The sequence below is a fragment of the Homo sapiens genome, chromosome 12 (genome assembly GCF_000001405.40).
Source record: "Homo sapiens chromosome 12, GRCh38.p14 Primary Assembly".
Lineage (NCBI taxonomy): Eukaryota > Metazoa > Chordata > Mammalia > Primates > Hominidae > Homo > Homo sapiens.
The window spans coordinates 14,765,093-14,779,383 of NC_000012.12; the positions used below are offsets into that span (position 1 = coordinate 14,765,093).

At 43.6% G+C, this 14,291-nt stretch overlaps 3 protein-coding genes across 4 annotated transcripts in view, besides 10 other annotated features; 1 reads left to right on the forward strand and 2 right to left on the reverse strand.

The window, feature by feature from the left end:
- Window positions 1-5,565, reverse strand: part of LOC105369669 (uncharacterized) — a 36,138-nt gene extending 30,573 nt beyond the window's left edge. Inside the window, exons 1-2 of the mRNA XM_047429947.1 lie at window positions 4,808-5,565; window positions 3,847-3,917 (exon numbers count right to left, since the gene is read on the reverse strand). Coding sequence (XP_047285903.1) covers window positions 3,847-3,917; window positions 4,808-5,061 — 325 coding nt within the window. The 5' untranslated portion in view covers window positions 5,062-5,565. The remainder of the gene's footprint in view (window positions 1-3,846; window positions 3,918-4,807) is intronic.
- Window positions 4,665-5,260: an enhancer, noted in NCBI's record as "NANOG-H3K27ac-H3K4me1 hESC enhancer chr12:14922691-14923286 (GRCh37/hg19 assembly coordinates)". NCBI's record gives its function as "activates a minimal SCP1, AML or CMV promoter by ChIP-STARR-seq in primed H9 embryonic stem cells {active_cell/tissue: H9 hESC(primed)}" and the evidence as "EXISTENCE:reporter gene assay evidence [ECO:0000049][PMID:30033119]".
- Window positions 5,261-5,857: an enhancer, noted in NCBI's record as "NANOG-H3K27ac-H3K4me1 hESC enhancer chr12:14923287-14923883 (GRCh37/hg19 assembly coordinates)". NCBI's record gives its function as "activates a minimal SCP1, AML or CMV promoter by ChIP-STARR-seq in primed H9 embryonic stem cells {active_cell/tissue: H9 hESC(primed)}" and the evidence as "EXISTENCE:reporter gene assay evidence [ECO:0000049][PMID:30033119]".
- Window positions 5,522-5,851: an enhancer, noted in NCBI's record as "active region_6052". NCBI's record gives its function as "activates an Ori minimal core promoter by ATAC-STARR-seq in GM12878 lymphoblastoid cells {active_cell/tissue: GM12878}" and the evidence as "EXISTENCE:reporter gene assay evidence [ECO:0000049][PMID:35858748]".
- H4C16 (H4 histone 16) lies at window positions 5,628-6,039 on the reverse strand. Its single transcript, NM_175054.2, has one exon. It carries the CDS (start codon window positions 5,990-5,992, stop codon window positions 5,681-5,683), a length of 312 nt encoding a protein of 103 aa, NP_778224.1. The 5' UTR covers window positions 5,993-6,039; the 3' UTR covers window positions 5,628-5,680.
- Window positions 8,733-9,650: an enhancer, noted in NCBI's record as "H3K27ac hESC enhancer chr12:14926759-14927676 (GRCh37/hg19 assembly coordinates)". NCBI's record gives its function as "activates a minimal SCP1, AML or CMV promoter by ChIP-STARR-seq in naive H9 embryonic stem cells {active_cell/tissue: H9 hESC(naive)}" and the evidence as "EXISTENCE:reporter gene assay evidence [ECO:0000049][PMID:30033119]".
- Window positions 8,864-9,073: an enhancer, noted in NCBI's record as "active region_6053". NCBI's record gives its function as "activates an Ori minimal core promoter by ATAC-STARR-seq in GM12878 lymphoblastoid cells {active_cell/tissue: GM12878}" and the evidence as "EXISTENCE:reporter gene assay evidence [ECO:0000049][PMID:35858748]".
- Window positions 9,264-9,593: an enhancer, noted in NCBI's record as "active region_6054". NCBI's record gives its function as "activates an Ori minimal core promoter by ATAC-STARR-seq in GM12878 lymphoblastoid cells {active_cell/tissue: GM12878}" and the evidence as "EXISTENCE:reporter gene assay evidence [ECO:0000049][PMID:35858748]".
- H2AJ (H2A.J histone) lies at window positions 9,313-12,910 on the forward strand. Of its 2 annotated transcripts, NR_027716.3 has the most exons (2): window positions 9,313-9,884; window positions 10,199-12,910. NR_027716.3 is itself a non-coding variant. In NM_177925.5 (1 exon), exon 1 carries the CDS (start codon window positions 9,379-9,381, stop codon window positions 9,766-9,768), a length of 390 nt encoding a protein of 129 aa, NP_808760.1. In that variant the 5' UTR covers window positions 9,313-9,378; the 3' UTR covers window positions 9,769-9,932. The 2 variants fall into 2 exon arrangements, 1 of the variants encoding a protein (NP_808760.1); NM_177925.5 differs by lacking the exon at window positions 10,199-12,910 and having other exon boundaries at window positions 9,313-9,932.
- Window positions 9,604-9,763: an enhancer, noted in NCBI's record as "active region_6055". NCBI's record gives its function as "activates an Ori minimal core promoter by ATAC-STARR-seq in GM12878 lymphoblastoid cells {active_cell/tissue: GM12878}" and the evidence as "EXISTENCE:reporter gene assay evidence [ECO:0000049][PMID:35858748]".
- Window positions 9,604-10,567: a biological region, named in NCBI's record as "H3K27ac hESC enhancer GRCh37_chr12:14927677-14928593".
- Window positions 9,651-10,567: an enhancer, noted in NCBI's record as "H3K27ac hESC enhancer chr12:14927677-14928593 (GRCh37/hg19 assembly coordinates)". NCBI's record gives its function as "activates a minimal SCP1, AML or CMV promoter by ChIP-STARR-seq in naive H9 embryonic stem cells {active_cell/tissue: H9 hESC(naive)}" and the evidence as "EXISTENCE:reporter gene assay evidence [ECO:0000049][PMID:30033119]".
- Window positions 10,274-10,423: an enhancer, noted in NCBI's record as "active region_6056". NCBI's record gives its function as "activates an Ori minimal core promoter by ATAC-STARR-seq in GM12878 lymphoblastoid cells {active_cell/tissue: GM12878}" and the evidence as "EXISTENCE:reporter gene assay evidence [ECO:0000049][PMID:35858748]".
- Window positions 12,911-14,291: the final 1,381 nt, after the last annotated feature.

Genomic DNA, 14,291 nt, shown 5'->3' on the forward strand with positions numbered 1-14,291 from the left:
AACTTCTGGGCTCAAGCAATCCTCCCACCTTGGCCTCCCAAAGTGCTGAGATTACAGGCATGAGCTACTGCACCCAGCCAAATTTCCCTAAAACTTTAATGTTTTATTCAAAATTTTAGGTCAGAAGTTCCTTCTTTCAAGGAATTTACAGATAAGTCACGGAAGACATATGAATCAAACTATAGTTAGTGAAATACACTTCCAGCAGTCTGGCAAACACTATCTGAATAACCCTTCCAGGGTTGAGAAATGGGAACAATTACACACTGTTGGTGGGAATGCAAATTAGTTCAGCCTATGTGGAAAGCTGTTTGGAGATTTCTCAAAGAGCTAAAAATGGAATTATTATTTACCCAGCAATCCCATACTGGGTATATACTCAGAGGAAAATAAATCGTTCTACCAAAAAGACACCTGCACTCATGTTTACCACAACACCATTCACAATAGCAAAGGCATGGAATCAACCCAGGTACCCATCAATGGTGGACTAGATAAAGAAAATGTGGTACATATACACCACGGAATACTATACAGCCATTAAAAAGAATGAAATCCTGTCCTTTGCAGCAACATGGATGTAGCTGGAGGCCATTAGCCTAATCAAATTAATGCAGAAATAGAAAAACAAATACTGCATGTCCTCACTTGTAAGTTGGAACTCAACATTGTGTACACATGGACACAAAGATAGGAACAATAGACACTGGTGTAAAAAAAAAAAGTAGACGTTCCTCTTCAAAGACTTTCTTCCCCATCTAATTAGGAATAAACAGTAACTTTCCTTAGAAGCAAAATTTATTCAAAGACCTGTGCCAACATTCTTAAATATCTGCTATCTGTAATAAAGAAATCAATGTACTTTATGTTATCTCCCACAATTTAGCCTAAATATTTGCCCTGGCATGCTTATACTGGTCCAAGCAAGCATTAGGTCATAGCCTGTTCCTCTTCCTTATTTGAAGGTGTTTTTACCTTTCTCAGCATTCCACAAGTTACTTCCTCCTTCCTTTGTTCTCCTCTGCCTTTGCCTCTTTTAAAAGGTTCTAAGTTGCTAGCCAATCAGGACAAATACAGAATGTGAGGTCCCGTTCCAGCCAGTGGAAATCAGACACAGCAGTAGTGTGGACGCATCAGGTTATAAATGACCCTGTCTCCTTTGTTCTGTGTACTCTGGTGACAAAACTGCTAGTGAGTGTACCCTTTCTGCAGAAAGTAAAAATGGCCTTGCTGAAGAAATTAAATTTATGTTCAAGTGCTATTTCTTTACGGCACTGGGGAACAAGCATTTCTAACACTGGGGATTCATGGGAAGGGAGGGAGTGGGGCAAGGGTTGAAAAACTAAAAAACTACCTATCGGGTACTATGTTTGCTACTTGGGTGATGGGGTCATCAGAAGCCTGAACCTCAGCATTATGCAATACTCATGTAACAAACCTGCATGTGTATCCCTTGAATCTTAAAAAAGATAAAAATAATAAAAAATAAATCTAGGGTTACACTGGAGAATAAGCCTTGGGAATAAGCTGTAAGAAGTAAAAGTTGACTCTACTAATAGCCTAGGATACTCAAACAGGGCTAAAGTGGCCCCAGTCCATAGCAGTATGTTACCCGAAAAAAACAAGCAAATGCTAATTCTCTCTGGAGGCAGCATGCTCAATTTAGTTTCTGACTCCCACAGATGACCTTCAACCACATATAAGTTCAGAATAAAAATGCTAAACATATGAAGACACAAGTATTGATGTGTCAGCAGAGAAACAAAACATTCGCTGTAAACCACTGTTAAGTCATATTGGATTTATCTGTTAATTTTGACTGCAAAATATTTCACTGTAATTTATTCATCCACTCTCGTCAATGGGCATTTGGTTTGTTGTTGCTATTGTGAGCAGTTCTACTAAGAACTTTAATGACCATGTCTCCTGGGGCATTCATGCTATCATTTCCTTTAGGTAAATACCCAGAGGTGGAATTGCTGCTTGAGCATATATGTGAATCTATCTTAAACTTCACAAGATAATGCAAACCCTTAGTTTCAAAAATAATTGAAACAATTTATACTCCTACCAGCAATATAAGAGATTCTGTGTAACATTTGTTAATTTTTGTCAGTCTACTGAGTCCAAAGTTGTATTTCATTGTGGTCTTTTTTTTTTTTTTTTGAGAGAGAGAGATCGAGAGTCTTGAGTGCAGTGGCTGATGTCGGCTCACTGCAACCTCTCTCTCCAGAGTTCAAGTGATTCTTGTGCCTCAGCCCCCGAGTAACAGGGATTACAGGTGTGTACCACCATGCCCAGCTAACTTTTTGTATTTTTAGTAGAGACAGGGTTTCACCATGTTGCCCAGGCTGGTCTTGAACTCCTGTCCAAGTGATTTGCCCACTTCAGCCTCCCAAAGTGCTGGGATTACAGGCATGAGCCACCACACCCAGCCTCAGTGTGGTCTTGATTTGTAGTTTCTTGATGACTGATCAAGCTGAACATCTCTTCTTACGCTTATTGGCCATGTTTTTCCAGTCTTTTGCCCATTTTTCAATAGGCTTGTTTGAACTTGGTTTCAATTTTTATTCAACTAGTTGCCTAGTTCATTGCATTATTCTTGGACAAAGGACAAATTAAATATACAACATTAGGAGATTCTCCAAATACAACCTGCCTGGAAAATACTCTGGCATTTGTTTATGCTGCTTTTCCCCCAAATTTGGTGTGGCCTTCTTCAATGGGTCATTAGCTCAGAACAGATGGCACCTGTGCTCTTTGAAGATACCCATACACTTGGCTGACAAAATTTGTCCTTTTGTATACCAATAGCATTTGATTTATACCACTCTATTAGAGCAAACCATATGTGTACAACTACACGTCTTTCCCCTTTCTCTCCTAGAAAAATAGGAGTTTCTTGATGGCAGTAACTTGCTCATTTATCTCTGAATATTCAAAATATGCTTGGAAAAGAGGCATTAAACAAATGTTCAAAATTCAAAAGGGATGACTTTGCTACAGGATCAAATTTCAATGCATTCCATTCACTTTACATTTTATAATTCTTATTTTATGTAGAGATGGGGTCTCACTATGTTGGCCATGCTGGTCTCAAACTCCTGGCCTCCAGCAATCCTACTGCCTCAGCCTTCCCAAAGTGCTGGCATTATAGCCACCCCCACCCCGCCCCCCTCATTCACATTTTAAGTGAGGCATTACAGAGTTTTAAATCAAGTTCTTTAACATTTTTAGTAAGCAATTTTACTATTAATAGTAAACTTCAGAAAATCTTGATCGTTTTCAGTTTGAGATATTCTGTTCAGTTATTGAACCGTGTGACCCAGTTTTGGTTTGGAAGATATGATTACTGTCAGGACTGGGTACTTACTATACCATAGGACTCAGAGTCACAGACAAAAATAAATATTTCTTGGGTTTAGATAATTAGGTTATATTTTATAAAGAACAAAACACAAACAAAAAAATAACTATGCTACAAGGGAAAATATAAGTTCTATTCTAATCAAAGAATTGAGACCACTACAAAAATAAAAAAAAACCCCAAAACCATGAAATATTTAAACAATTCCATATAAGTTAAATACTTAAGGAAGAGTTTTAATTGTCATACAAATATCTACAGTATTTCTATCCTCCATCGGGGCCCTAACTTTCATCCTTAATTTATGTGAAACCCAAAATCACTCATTTGGTCATGCAACAAATATCGAGGGCACGAAAGTATGCCAGACTCTATTTCTTTTAAGTAACTCAATTTTTCACTTGCATTAAAGAAAATTGAACTTCTCCGAGTGTCTCACTGTCTTAGAAATTAAACTAACACCAGTATTGTGTACTCACTTGAAGTCTTTATGGAGTAGGAGAAAGTACTTAGAAATGACACGTCAGCAAAAAGGAACAGGGGAGCCTTCCTGGCAGAAGAAGAGGCAAATGTCAAGATCTAGCGGTGCGGAATCCTTCGCCAGCTGGGTTCCAATCTTGACTCCAGTTCTTTAACCCCTGGGGCTGGGAAACTCCCTTAGAGTGACTTCAGCCCACCGCACCAAGGAAGCTATATGACTTCTTCATGTTTAGAATAGCTAGAGCAAGACCAAGCGTGGTGGCTCACGCCTGAAATGCCAGCACTTTGGGAGGCGGAGGCGGGTGAATCACTTGAGGCCAGGAGTTCAAGACCAGCCTGGCCAACATGGTGAAACCCCGTATCTACCAAAAAAAAAAAAAATACAAAAATTAGCCAGGCGTGGTGGCGCAGGCCTGTAATCCCAGCTACTCCGGAAGCTGAGGCAGGTGAATCGCTTGAACCCGGGAGGCGGAGGCGAGATCGTGCCACTGCACTCCAGCCTCGGTGGCAGAGCTAGACTTGGTCTCGAAAAGAAAGGAAAAAAGAAAAGGTAGAGAAGGGGCAGATTAGTTAACGCGGCATGGATCACACCGCATCCTGGGGTGCCAAGCCTAATGAGAAGTTAGGAAGGACAGAGCCAGGAGTAGAGCGAGGCTGTTATACGGAGCTTTACCGGAGGCCGGGGCGACCCCTACGGCCTGGACGCAGGCTGATCACCAGGTCTTCCGCCCCCTACCCTCGCCTACTGGAAAGTGCGCTTAACTGGTAGCACCAGCCCCACCTTTCTCCAAGACCCTCACTACACCCCGGGAGTACCGGGTAGGACCACGCGCTTGGTAATCCCACAGCTGTCTCTCTTACATTCTCACTGAACTTATTAGAACCTAACCCGCCACCCGTTTCCCTTCTAGACCCCCAGGCTGCTCTGAACAGGGCCTTTACTCGGAAGCCAGGGCTTACCTCCCGGCTGCGATAGGGTTATTTGTGATGGGCATGACACTGCTCGGAGCGGGGGATTCCCGGCAACTTGGCGACCTGCAGGTGATCTGGCCTTTCATGCCGGCGTGACCCCCACTGCCTGCCTGCCAACTCCACGCCCGCCGCCAGGTGGCCGAGCAGGACGCTACCCGCTTGGCGTAGGCAACTTTACGCAGCTGGCTAAGAGGGAATCGCAGGGTGTCGCGAGTTTCGCCCGGCCGCCTTAATCTCAGCATCTGAGCTTGGTCACCTCTCACTCAACGTCAGCGATTAAGTAAAATAGTACCCAGTAAGACTACGCGCCACACTAGAGCTGCATTCAGCTTTCGGGCTTGCAGGTAGCGGCGTGCTGCGACCTCCCATTTCCTGCGACTTAGCAAGCCCTGCACACGCACGAACCGCCCTTGACGCGTGACGCTCACCCCTGAAGGCCAGCAGGAAGTCACCTAAGCCCTGATTTACATGGAAGCCATCCGATACGTGCTTATGGGCCAACGACTCGGCCGCTTAGAAGACCATGACCAGTTCTAACACTAGGGCTTTGTACAAGCACTCTTCTAAACAAAATCCGGTGTCTGGATTTTGGGAGGTCACTACTGCGTTGCGCGGCACCTCCAGGGTCGTACCTAAGCACAGGCGGAACCCCCTCCTTGAGGTCTAGTTCTCCCCGTGCCCGCCAAGTCTAATCCCGAGCAGATGCTCGGGCCGCGAATATCCCATTTCCGGTATCCGGAAGGCGACATCAAAGGGTTGATATTTACCCGTTATCTAGGAAGTGTTAACAGCTCTTTCTGTGACAGTTTGGGGGCCCTGAAAAGGGCCTTTTGGAGTCTGTAGAGAAGCTGTGGGGACAGCTCAACCGCCGAAACCATAAAGGGTGCGACCCTGGCGTTTCAGCGCGTACACCACATCCATGGCCGTGACGGTCTTGCGCTTGGCGTGCTCCGTGTAAGTCACCGCGTCACGGATCACGTTCTCCAGGAAGACTTTGAGGACTCCCCGGGTCTCCTCGTAGATGAGACCAGAAATGCGCTTGACGCCCCCACGTCGGGCGAGACGGCGAATCGCCGGCTTTGTAATGCCTTGGATATTGTCCCGCAGCACCTTCCGGTGGCGCTTGGCGCCTCCCTTACCCAGCCCCTTGCCACCTTTACCTCGCCCAGACATTCTGAAATCACAGCGCCTACTCAGCAGAAAATCGGGCTGCCCACTGTGATTGCCAGTCGCAGACCAGGGCTTATAGTCTCTCGATGCGGACCTGTTTGAAAACATCAAAAAAGTGGGCGGAGCTCTAGGCCCCACCTCTGGAGACATGCTATAGTTGTTAAGTCCAGGAAGCAGTCAGCGAAACCAGCCTGATTTTTTTGTTGTTTGCTCTTTTGGGAAAATTTTTTCTGATGTTTGGAGAAAGGTTCATGGTGATACGTTTTAAAGTTAAAACAGTATGAGCTAAAAGAATTTATATTGCCTTTTCTCAGCGCTTAAATAAAAGTAGGCCAGATCCTATGCACGTTCCTTGTTCTGTCCCTCCCTCCTTCTGTTTTTTCAAACGGAATTCCTGACTTACTATGAAACTCTATAAAAACCTGAAAAGCTTTACATCCGAGATTTCAAAGCAATTACTTAAAATTTAAAATTTTTCACACGTGGGTCTTCTGAAGACATAGTAGGGGGAGAGGACTTTTTTCTCTTTTACGGCCCTGCAGATAATTAAAATTCTTTCAATTGAAAAAAGAAAGTGCAGCTTCCCGTCCCCCACCTACACTCCACCCCCACCTCCCCCCGACCCCCGCCATTCCCCTTTCAGCTGCTTCTGCGCAATTTGCAGGTTTTCCTGCCCTGCAAGAGCCTGTGTGCTTTTCAACCAAGTAACTTCCTGTGGTTATTTAGTTGAAATATTGTCAATGTCTTATGTCATTCAAATCTCAGGTTCTCATCTCACATTTTCCACTTAAAAATTCAAAGTTCTTGTAAAACAATGGATGCCACAATCATGACTTGGAATAATGATTTCTACTGCAAATCCCCTCAGGAGGTTCTGAATCCCTTCCTTTCTCAAGAGAATCCCTGAACAAAAACGAAAGTTTCTGTAAGGTGTCACCGCTCTTCAAAGGTGTCAGGACCCTGTCTTCTCTAAAGGTTTTACTGTGTTAAAAAGCAGCTGTTATTTAGAGGATGAGTCATAAGTCTTTCCCAGGTAGTTAATTAGGATTCTGAGCAATGAATTTTAGTAAGTGGGGCTTCTTTGTCCCTGGTCTTGAAGATAAGCCTTTACAGCAGGAAGACTTTATGGTAAAATTTTGTTATATTTATAAATGCCTATAGTTTACATTTGTTTCAATCCATGCCCATCTTCATAACCCAAAAGGTATTTATTTTTCTTTTACTTTTTGTTAAAGATAAAAGAGTTGGAACACTGTCTTGAATGGCTGGAAAAAGTCCTGAATGGTCGAACTTCACTCATGATTTTAATATTTGACTCAGAGGGAAGAGGAAAAGTCTATCAGATCTTGAAGAGATAAGAATTATTGTAATGGGGCCGGGCGCGGTGGCTCACGCCTGTAATCCCAGCGCTCTGGGAGGCCGAGGAGGGCGGATTACGAGGTCAGGAGATCGAGACCATCCTGACTAACATGGTGAAACCCCATCTCTACTAAAAATACATAAAAATTAGCCGGGCGTGGTGGCGGGCGCCTGTAGTCCCAGCTACTCGGGAGGCTGAGGCAGGAGAATGGCGTGAACCCGGGAGACGGAGCTTGCAGTGAGCCGAGATCGCGCCACTGCACTCCAGCCTGGGCGACAGAGCGAGACTCCGTCTCAAAAAAAAAAAAAAAAAATTATTGTAATGGTAAAATCGGTTGACTTACTTATAGTTAAGCTTTCTAAGAAATCAAGACTAGAACATTTTCAAATTAGAAATCTCTTGCTTATTGGAATAAAAGAAAAAAAATCGTGTCTAAAATAGTAATACTTTTAAAAACTCTTGAAAATTCCCCAAGATACAGGCAAAAATTTAAGCTAGTTTACAGAACTCATTCCAGGAACATCTCGTTAAAAACTGCATCAGAGATTTGTATGCCCATTTATTTGGTATATCTAAGAGTTATTGGATGCTTACTAACGTATTTAATTTTCAAAACACTTTGATACAGGTAGAGGAGTCAAATAACTTATCAAAGGTCACTGCTCAGTGGTAAAGCCAGGATTTAGGCTGAGGCAGACTGGCTCCGGAAAGACCGCCTAAACCATGACAATAGCTCTGAAGACATTTATTGAGTCCCCAGTATGGGTTCATCATTGTTCTAGGCAGTAATGACATATACATAAATATTTGAAAATGTTATTTCAATGAAGTCAAATCTTTATTCGGATAGTGAGAAGGTAAATTTGCTTTACTTTAAATGTAAATGAATCCACATAAAATGTTTATTTTAAAAAGCAAGCGTTCAACATTACATCACGTATCGGTGTTAACTGTGTTACTGAAAATGTTCAGGTAAAAATGAAATGACCTCGATGAATTAGGAGAAAGTAATTTTTAATTAAAACAAAACACTTGAAACACTCTTTTTGTTTCAAAAAGCATGGGTCCACAATTCAGGTATATAAGAATAAGCTGCCATTCTGACTTTAGTCTCTGGACTCATTTACAAAGAGACCCGGGGGACCTCCACGTCTTCGCAGAGGACCCGATCCGCTGATCTGTGGCGCCCTGGCTTGCGGGGAGCAAGCCAAGGCCAAGACTTTGGCCTCTCCAATAAAACCTAGTGGCTCTTTGCAGGCCCATAGCCTCAAAGACAAAAGATATTTTGGCTAGGCGAGCTTGTTCCTCCCGTCAGCACAGGAAGCATTCACGTCTGGTCATCACTCTAGCTTCAGACTCAAAAGTGAACGATTGGCTGGCTGTGAGCCGCAGGACCCTGCGGGGAGACCAGGGTGGTCTCTACACTGTTGGGTAGCTAGCTGGAGGCAAGGCGCTTGTATAAGAAACAGTCCACGGACCCTGTCCTGGGCAGGCAGAATTCCGCGGACAGGCTGTTGTTTCGCCTAAGCAGCACGGGCTGCGGAGACAGAAACCTACCTGAGTAGTACGGTGTATTATATGAGAACATCCACTTAGCATAGCAACGTCTACGGACAACCCCTGTAGCTCTTCTTCTGGATTGTTTTCTGTTTCCAACCATGTTTTCTTATTTCCTACGAGTTTATGTGCTTGGAAGCGAGCGTGGTCGTGGAAAACCCGTAACCGCTAAATTCATCTGGGTCCCCAAAGACTGAGCCGGCTGGCCTCGTTATTTATGTGAGCGGCTATGTAAATGAGGATTCGGAGATTGCTCTATTGATTGGAGAGAGCTGGAGGAGGCGGTCTCTCTTCCAGAGCGCTAGTTGGGAGCGGAGCCTGCCTGTCATTGGTCACCAGAGCCAATGGAAAGGGGCTGCCGCGCGGCCGTAAAGAGTTTGTAGAGGCAGTTCGGGTGCGGTACGTTGCATTCCGGTACCGGACGCCGAGAGCGGTTTGTCTCCGTCTCTGGAGTTGTAGGCGAGAGGTGATCATGTCCGGTCGCGGGAAACAGGGCGGCAAAGTGCGAGCAAAGGCCAAATCCCGCTCCTCCCGCGCGGGCCTGCAGTTCCCGGTGGGCCGAGTGCACAGACTGCTGCGCAAAGGGAACTACGCGGAGCGAGTGGGCGCCGGGGCGCCGGTGTACCTGGCGGCGGTGTTGGAGTACCTTACGGCGGAGATCCTGGAGCTGGCTGGCAACGCCGCGCGTGACAACAAGAAGACCAGGATAATTCCCCGCCACCTGCAGCTCGCCATCCGCAACGACGAGGAGTTAAACAAGCTGCTGGGCAAAGTGACCATCGCTCAGGGCGGCGTCCTGCCCAACATCCAGGCCGTGCTGCTGCCCAAGAAGACGGAGAGTCAGAAGACGAAGAGCAAATGACCCTGACGCCGCCCTCAGGGAGCTGGCTCCCCCAGCAAAGGCCCTTTTCATGGTCGTCCCGCAATGCTTTTGAATGTGCTGGATGTCATGGAGGGCCGGTGACATCTAGCGGGGAGGTGGGCGGCGAGGGTCCCGGCGGGAGCCAATAAAGTTGGTGAAAATCGTTTGGTCGAGAGAGCTGTGTAGTCGCGGGGACATGTCGGATGGCCCCAGGGGAGGGGGGCGACCGGGAAACCCCTGGAGCAGGCACTGGTGGGTGGGCTTGAGCCACTCTGGACGGCTTTAGTCCGCAGGTCACCCTCGAGGCGTCAGGGGAGGGTGGCCTGGAGGTGGGCAGGGTGGAAGCCACCTCGCTGTCAGTAGGGCAAAGGGGAGGCAGAGTCGGTGCGGTGAGGCCTCCTTCGGAATTATTTTTACTTCCCTTTCACAGAGCCTTCGCTCTCCTGCCAGTTTGTGAGCACTCAGGACCAAGTTCTGGGAAGATACCGTCGGATCGAGCTGAGCTCGGGGCAGGAAGTGTCTGCGGCCATATTTTTCAAAAAGTGGAGTAACTTTCCGTCTTGGAAGGGTGGCTCTGATGGCACGATGTCAACTTGAGATTCTTCCTAGCCTAGTAGCTGCTGTGCTTTCATGCTTTGGATATCAGATATCTTTATATAGCACTTTTATGTTCATATTTTTTTTTTAATGAAGGAAACGTTCAATAAGTGAGTCATGAGGTTGGAAATTCGTTCCCCTGACAGTCATATTGCATAACATTGCAGCGCCTTTAGTCGTGGGTTACATATGCTTGAGCTTTTAAAGTGATGTTGTCAAGTTTCTAGCTTCATAATGATCCTGTCTTCATCATATCATATTCACTTTGAGAATCGGTTTGACTTTGCTTTCAAACAAAACAAAAACCTCTTGCTTTTAGGGGTTCTTACCCAACAAATAACCTGTTTGAACTCTCTTATATTCTCCCACTAGCCTGAAGCAATGACCTCATTCCAGTAATGTCTTTGGGAGTTGCATTGCCTAATGGCACAATATTGCTTTAATAAACATGTAAGGAAAGATAGGACCAAATATGTAAGTGCAGGGGGAAACACATTTCAGACCAGGAATCCACATTGAAAAGTTAACACTAGTAATCATCTTCTGCCCTTAATTGACACTCCTATTTATTTCATCCTCAGCAAATTTCATCCTGGCTCACAGACCCCACAAAAAAGATCCCAGTACAGATTTCACATCTTTGGATTCATCTTTCCTGTGAGTCGGAATTGAAGTCTTCCCCAAAAATATATGTATATATTGTATGTCTTCATCCTTGGTAGCGGCTGGCCCATTTTCCCACATGGACTTTATTTTGTCCCCAGTATTTATTGAACAGCTGTCTATGCCAGGCTCTGTACAAAGTGATAGGAGTAGAGCTGTGAATGAGGCCAACCAGATTTCCACTCTCTCGGAGCTCACTTTATTTTTATTGGTTCCTGAAGACGGGACAAGGAACAAATACATACGTTAATATGAGAGATCAGCTTCTGTTAGTACTTGTACCTCTCTGCTGTGTGTGGATGAATGATGGAATTACTTCTCCCATGTTGCCATTTTTGAGGTGTACAAAGGTCAGGCCGTACACACCTCTGTTAGGAGGCAAATTATTGGGCAGGTTCGAGATGTTCTGCTATTTACTCTGTGGTTTTGTCATATGTAAAAGTCATAACACCTGTTTTAAGGATTGAGATTGTTCATTTACTGTGTGCCACATATTAGACAATAAATGGAAAAAAGTACCATGTTCAATGGGGGTATGGGTTTATCCTTATAGGTTAAATTATAGGTAAACATTAATAGGACTTTTTAAAAAATGCCTCATTGTTAGAACTACTACTCACAGTTACCACTTGGGGTCAGTGGAACAAAATGCATATATGGTTTTGACATTTGAGTCTAAATTTCTTAAAGGGATGAGGCATCTGAGGGATTGTTACCAAAATGATGAAGAAATAAGGACAAGGGACATCAAGACATTCATAAGAAAAAGCACCTTTGCCTTCCCCTGGGAAGATTCACAGGAATCTGTCCAGCTCTTGTTACATGATGAGCAACATAGACAAGATACGAGGCATTGTAACTGCCCTGTCGCCACCCGCCTCTCCCACCACTACCCAAAGGATTCTTAGCATCCCCTCACATACTCTGCCTGCCTCAACGTTCAGTCAGCCCCTCACCATTTTTGTTTTTGAGAGTTTTTTTTTTAACCCGAATAGTTTACGGGCTGTTTAAAATGCATACTCCTACAAAATCAGCTCAGCCCATGATCCATGATGAACAAACAGTAGTTCTTGCTGATGTGTGATTATGAATTTAAAAGGCCAGTATTTCTTTAAGCATAAGACCATATGGAAAAAGGCCTAAGACAAAATCTGATGGGAACTGAATTCCAGTTTTTAATAGAGTTATAATCCATAGTTTTATTTACACACAAACACACACACACACACTCTTTCCTGCAGAGATAAGCAAGCCGTTCAGTGTGGCTGTGGCTTGGCCAGGATTTGTTTGATCTTTGTTTTTCCTGCAGGGCCAGTCTTGTCTTTGTGTCCCCGAGGACTGGTCTGTTTAGTTGTGCCTGCCTGGAATCAAAAGGCTTAGTCAGGCCCCATAATTGGTGATGACTGGCATACTATATGCAAACTTCACAATGCCCCTTCCAGTGGTTGAAAGGTCGCATACCATGCTGTGTAAGAACTTTAGCTCTCTGCAATGAGACTTAAATTCAGATTCACTCTACTCCTTATTAGTTATCTGATTTTTGGAAACTTAATCTCTTTAAACCTCAGTTTCATCTCTAAAATGGGCATAATAGTTTACCTCATAGAGTTTGGGGAGAATTGAGTGAATTAATGTGTGTGAGGACACTAAGATTCCCATATAGAAATAGGCTCAATGAATAGTAGCTGTTTTTATTTCTATGTAAAGTGAGTAGCGGTAGTTGATGGGAGCTGTTGAAACAGGTAAACAGCATTCTAGCAATCCTTCGACTTTTGTGATAGCAAACCATAAAAACAATTTTAGTGGCTGTTTTACTAATTAAAGGACATCCACAATTCAATGTATAACAGAAAAAGTAATGATTAAAGCTTGTGAATCTGAATTTGCATTTTCGTTGTTTTTTGTGTGTGTGTTTTGTTTTTTGGTTTTGCCCCTGAAGACAACCTAGTTTAGAATTTATGGCTTGTTAAGTCCACCCACACACATTAAAAATGGACCCTGTTTGTTCAATAATTTATTGAACAATATTATGTGTTACACCTGTGATTGGTAACCAGCTGCCAAGAAACTCTCATAGGACACACACTCAAAAGGAAGATAATAACAGGGTACATGTAGAGAAAAGGAGATGCTCAGGGTGTTAACAGGAACAGGGAATATGGGTACCTGTGTCACTCAGCTGCGTGGGCACACTGGCTGGTGGGAGGTGTAAGCTGGGCTGAGAGGCAGCATGCACGAAGACATGGGGGTCAAAAGGTAACTCCTGCAACTGGATTTGGGTCTGAATCTAGGGGAAAAAATCTGGATTGGAGATAATTATTTGGGAGTCATAACTAAAAATAGCCAGAGTAGATCAAATCATCCAGAAAGAACATATACATGTATAGAGTATAGACCGATATCAAAAATTGCCACAACAGAATTTGAGGATCTGTGAGATTTAATCAATTGGCAGAGGAAGAAGCATCACTAAAGAGAGGAGAGGATGCAGCCGGAAGGGCACCAGGAGAGAAAGTGTCAGTAGAGATTTTTCCACAATTTGGATCGCTGTGCTTCTTCATACCCCCTGCTTGCTTATACTTTGCCATATAACTAGAAACTGGTCTTTAAAAGTTATTACTTTTTTCCACACATATGAAATGGTGACAAGCTGGCTCATGTTACTAATGGAATTGGAATCGAAATGCATTTTTACCCTTTACATTTTTAAACTGCACATATGGAAATTCAAGGTATACATGGTGACAGCAAAAACATTTTTCTAAAAAAAAAACCTAGAAAAATATTGGCAAAGAACCCTTAAAGATATCCTTTATCATCATTCTTTTTAGTTGAATATAATTTTTTACATATAAATTTTAAAGAAGTTTTAAAAACAGCGGTAACTTATTCATAAAGCCAATGTAGGCATTTTAGAATGATTACAACATGAGAAATTGGACTCTGACAAGCCAATTTTCTAAAAAATCAATAAATGTTTAGCTTTCCAAGAGAGAAATGGAGAGTAAGAGGAACAAAGAAGAAGCAGAGGAAGAAATAATGAAACTGGTTTCAGGTAGATATGAAATTATCACTGTAAAGCTTTATTTTGTTTTCTCCGTAAGTGGAGGAAGGAAAGCTTACGTGTTGAAAATTGGATTTCAACATATACATACTTGAAAGAGAATGATGGCTTTTTTGGGCAGTAACTTGGAACCATGATTTTTTTTTTTTTTTTTTTTTTTTTTTTTTTGAGACAGGATCTCTCCCTGTTGCCCAGGCTG

What these genes read in the sequence shown, in the direction of transcription:
- H4C16 (NM_175054.2), bottom strand. Translation starts at nt 5,992, where the DNA reads ATGTCTGGGCGAGGTAAAGGTGGCAAGGGGCTGGGTAAGGGAGGCGCC.
- H2AJ (NM_177925.5), top strand. Translation starts at nt 9,379, where the DNA reads ATGTCCGGTCGCGGGAAACAGGGCGGCAAAGTGCGAGCAAAGGCCAAA.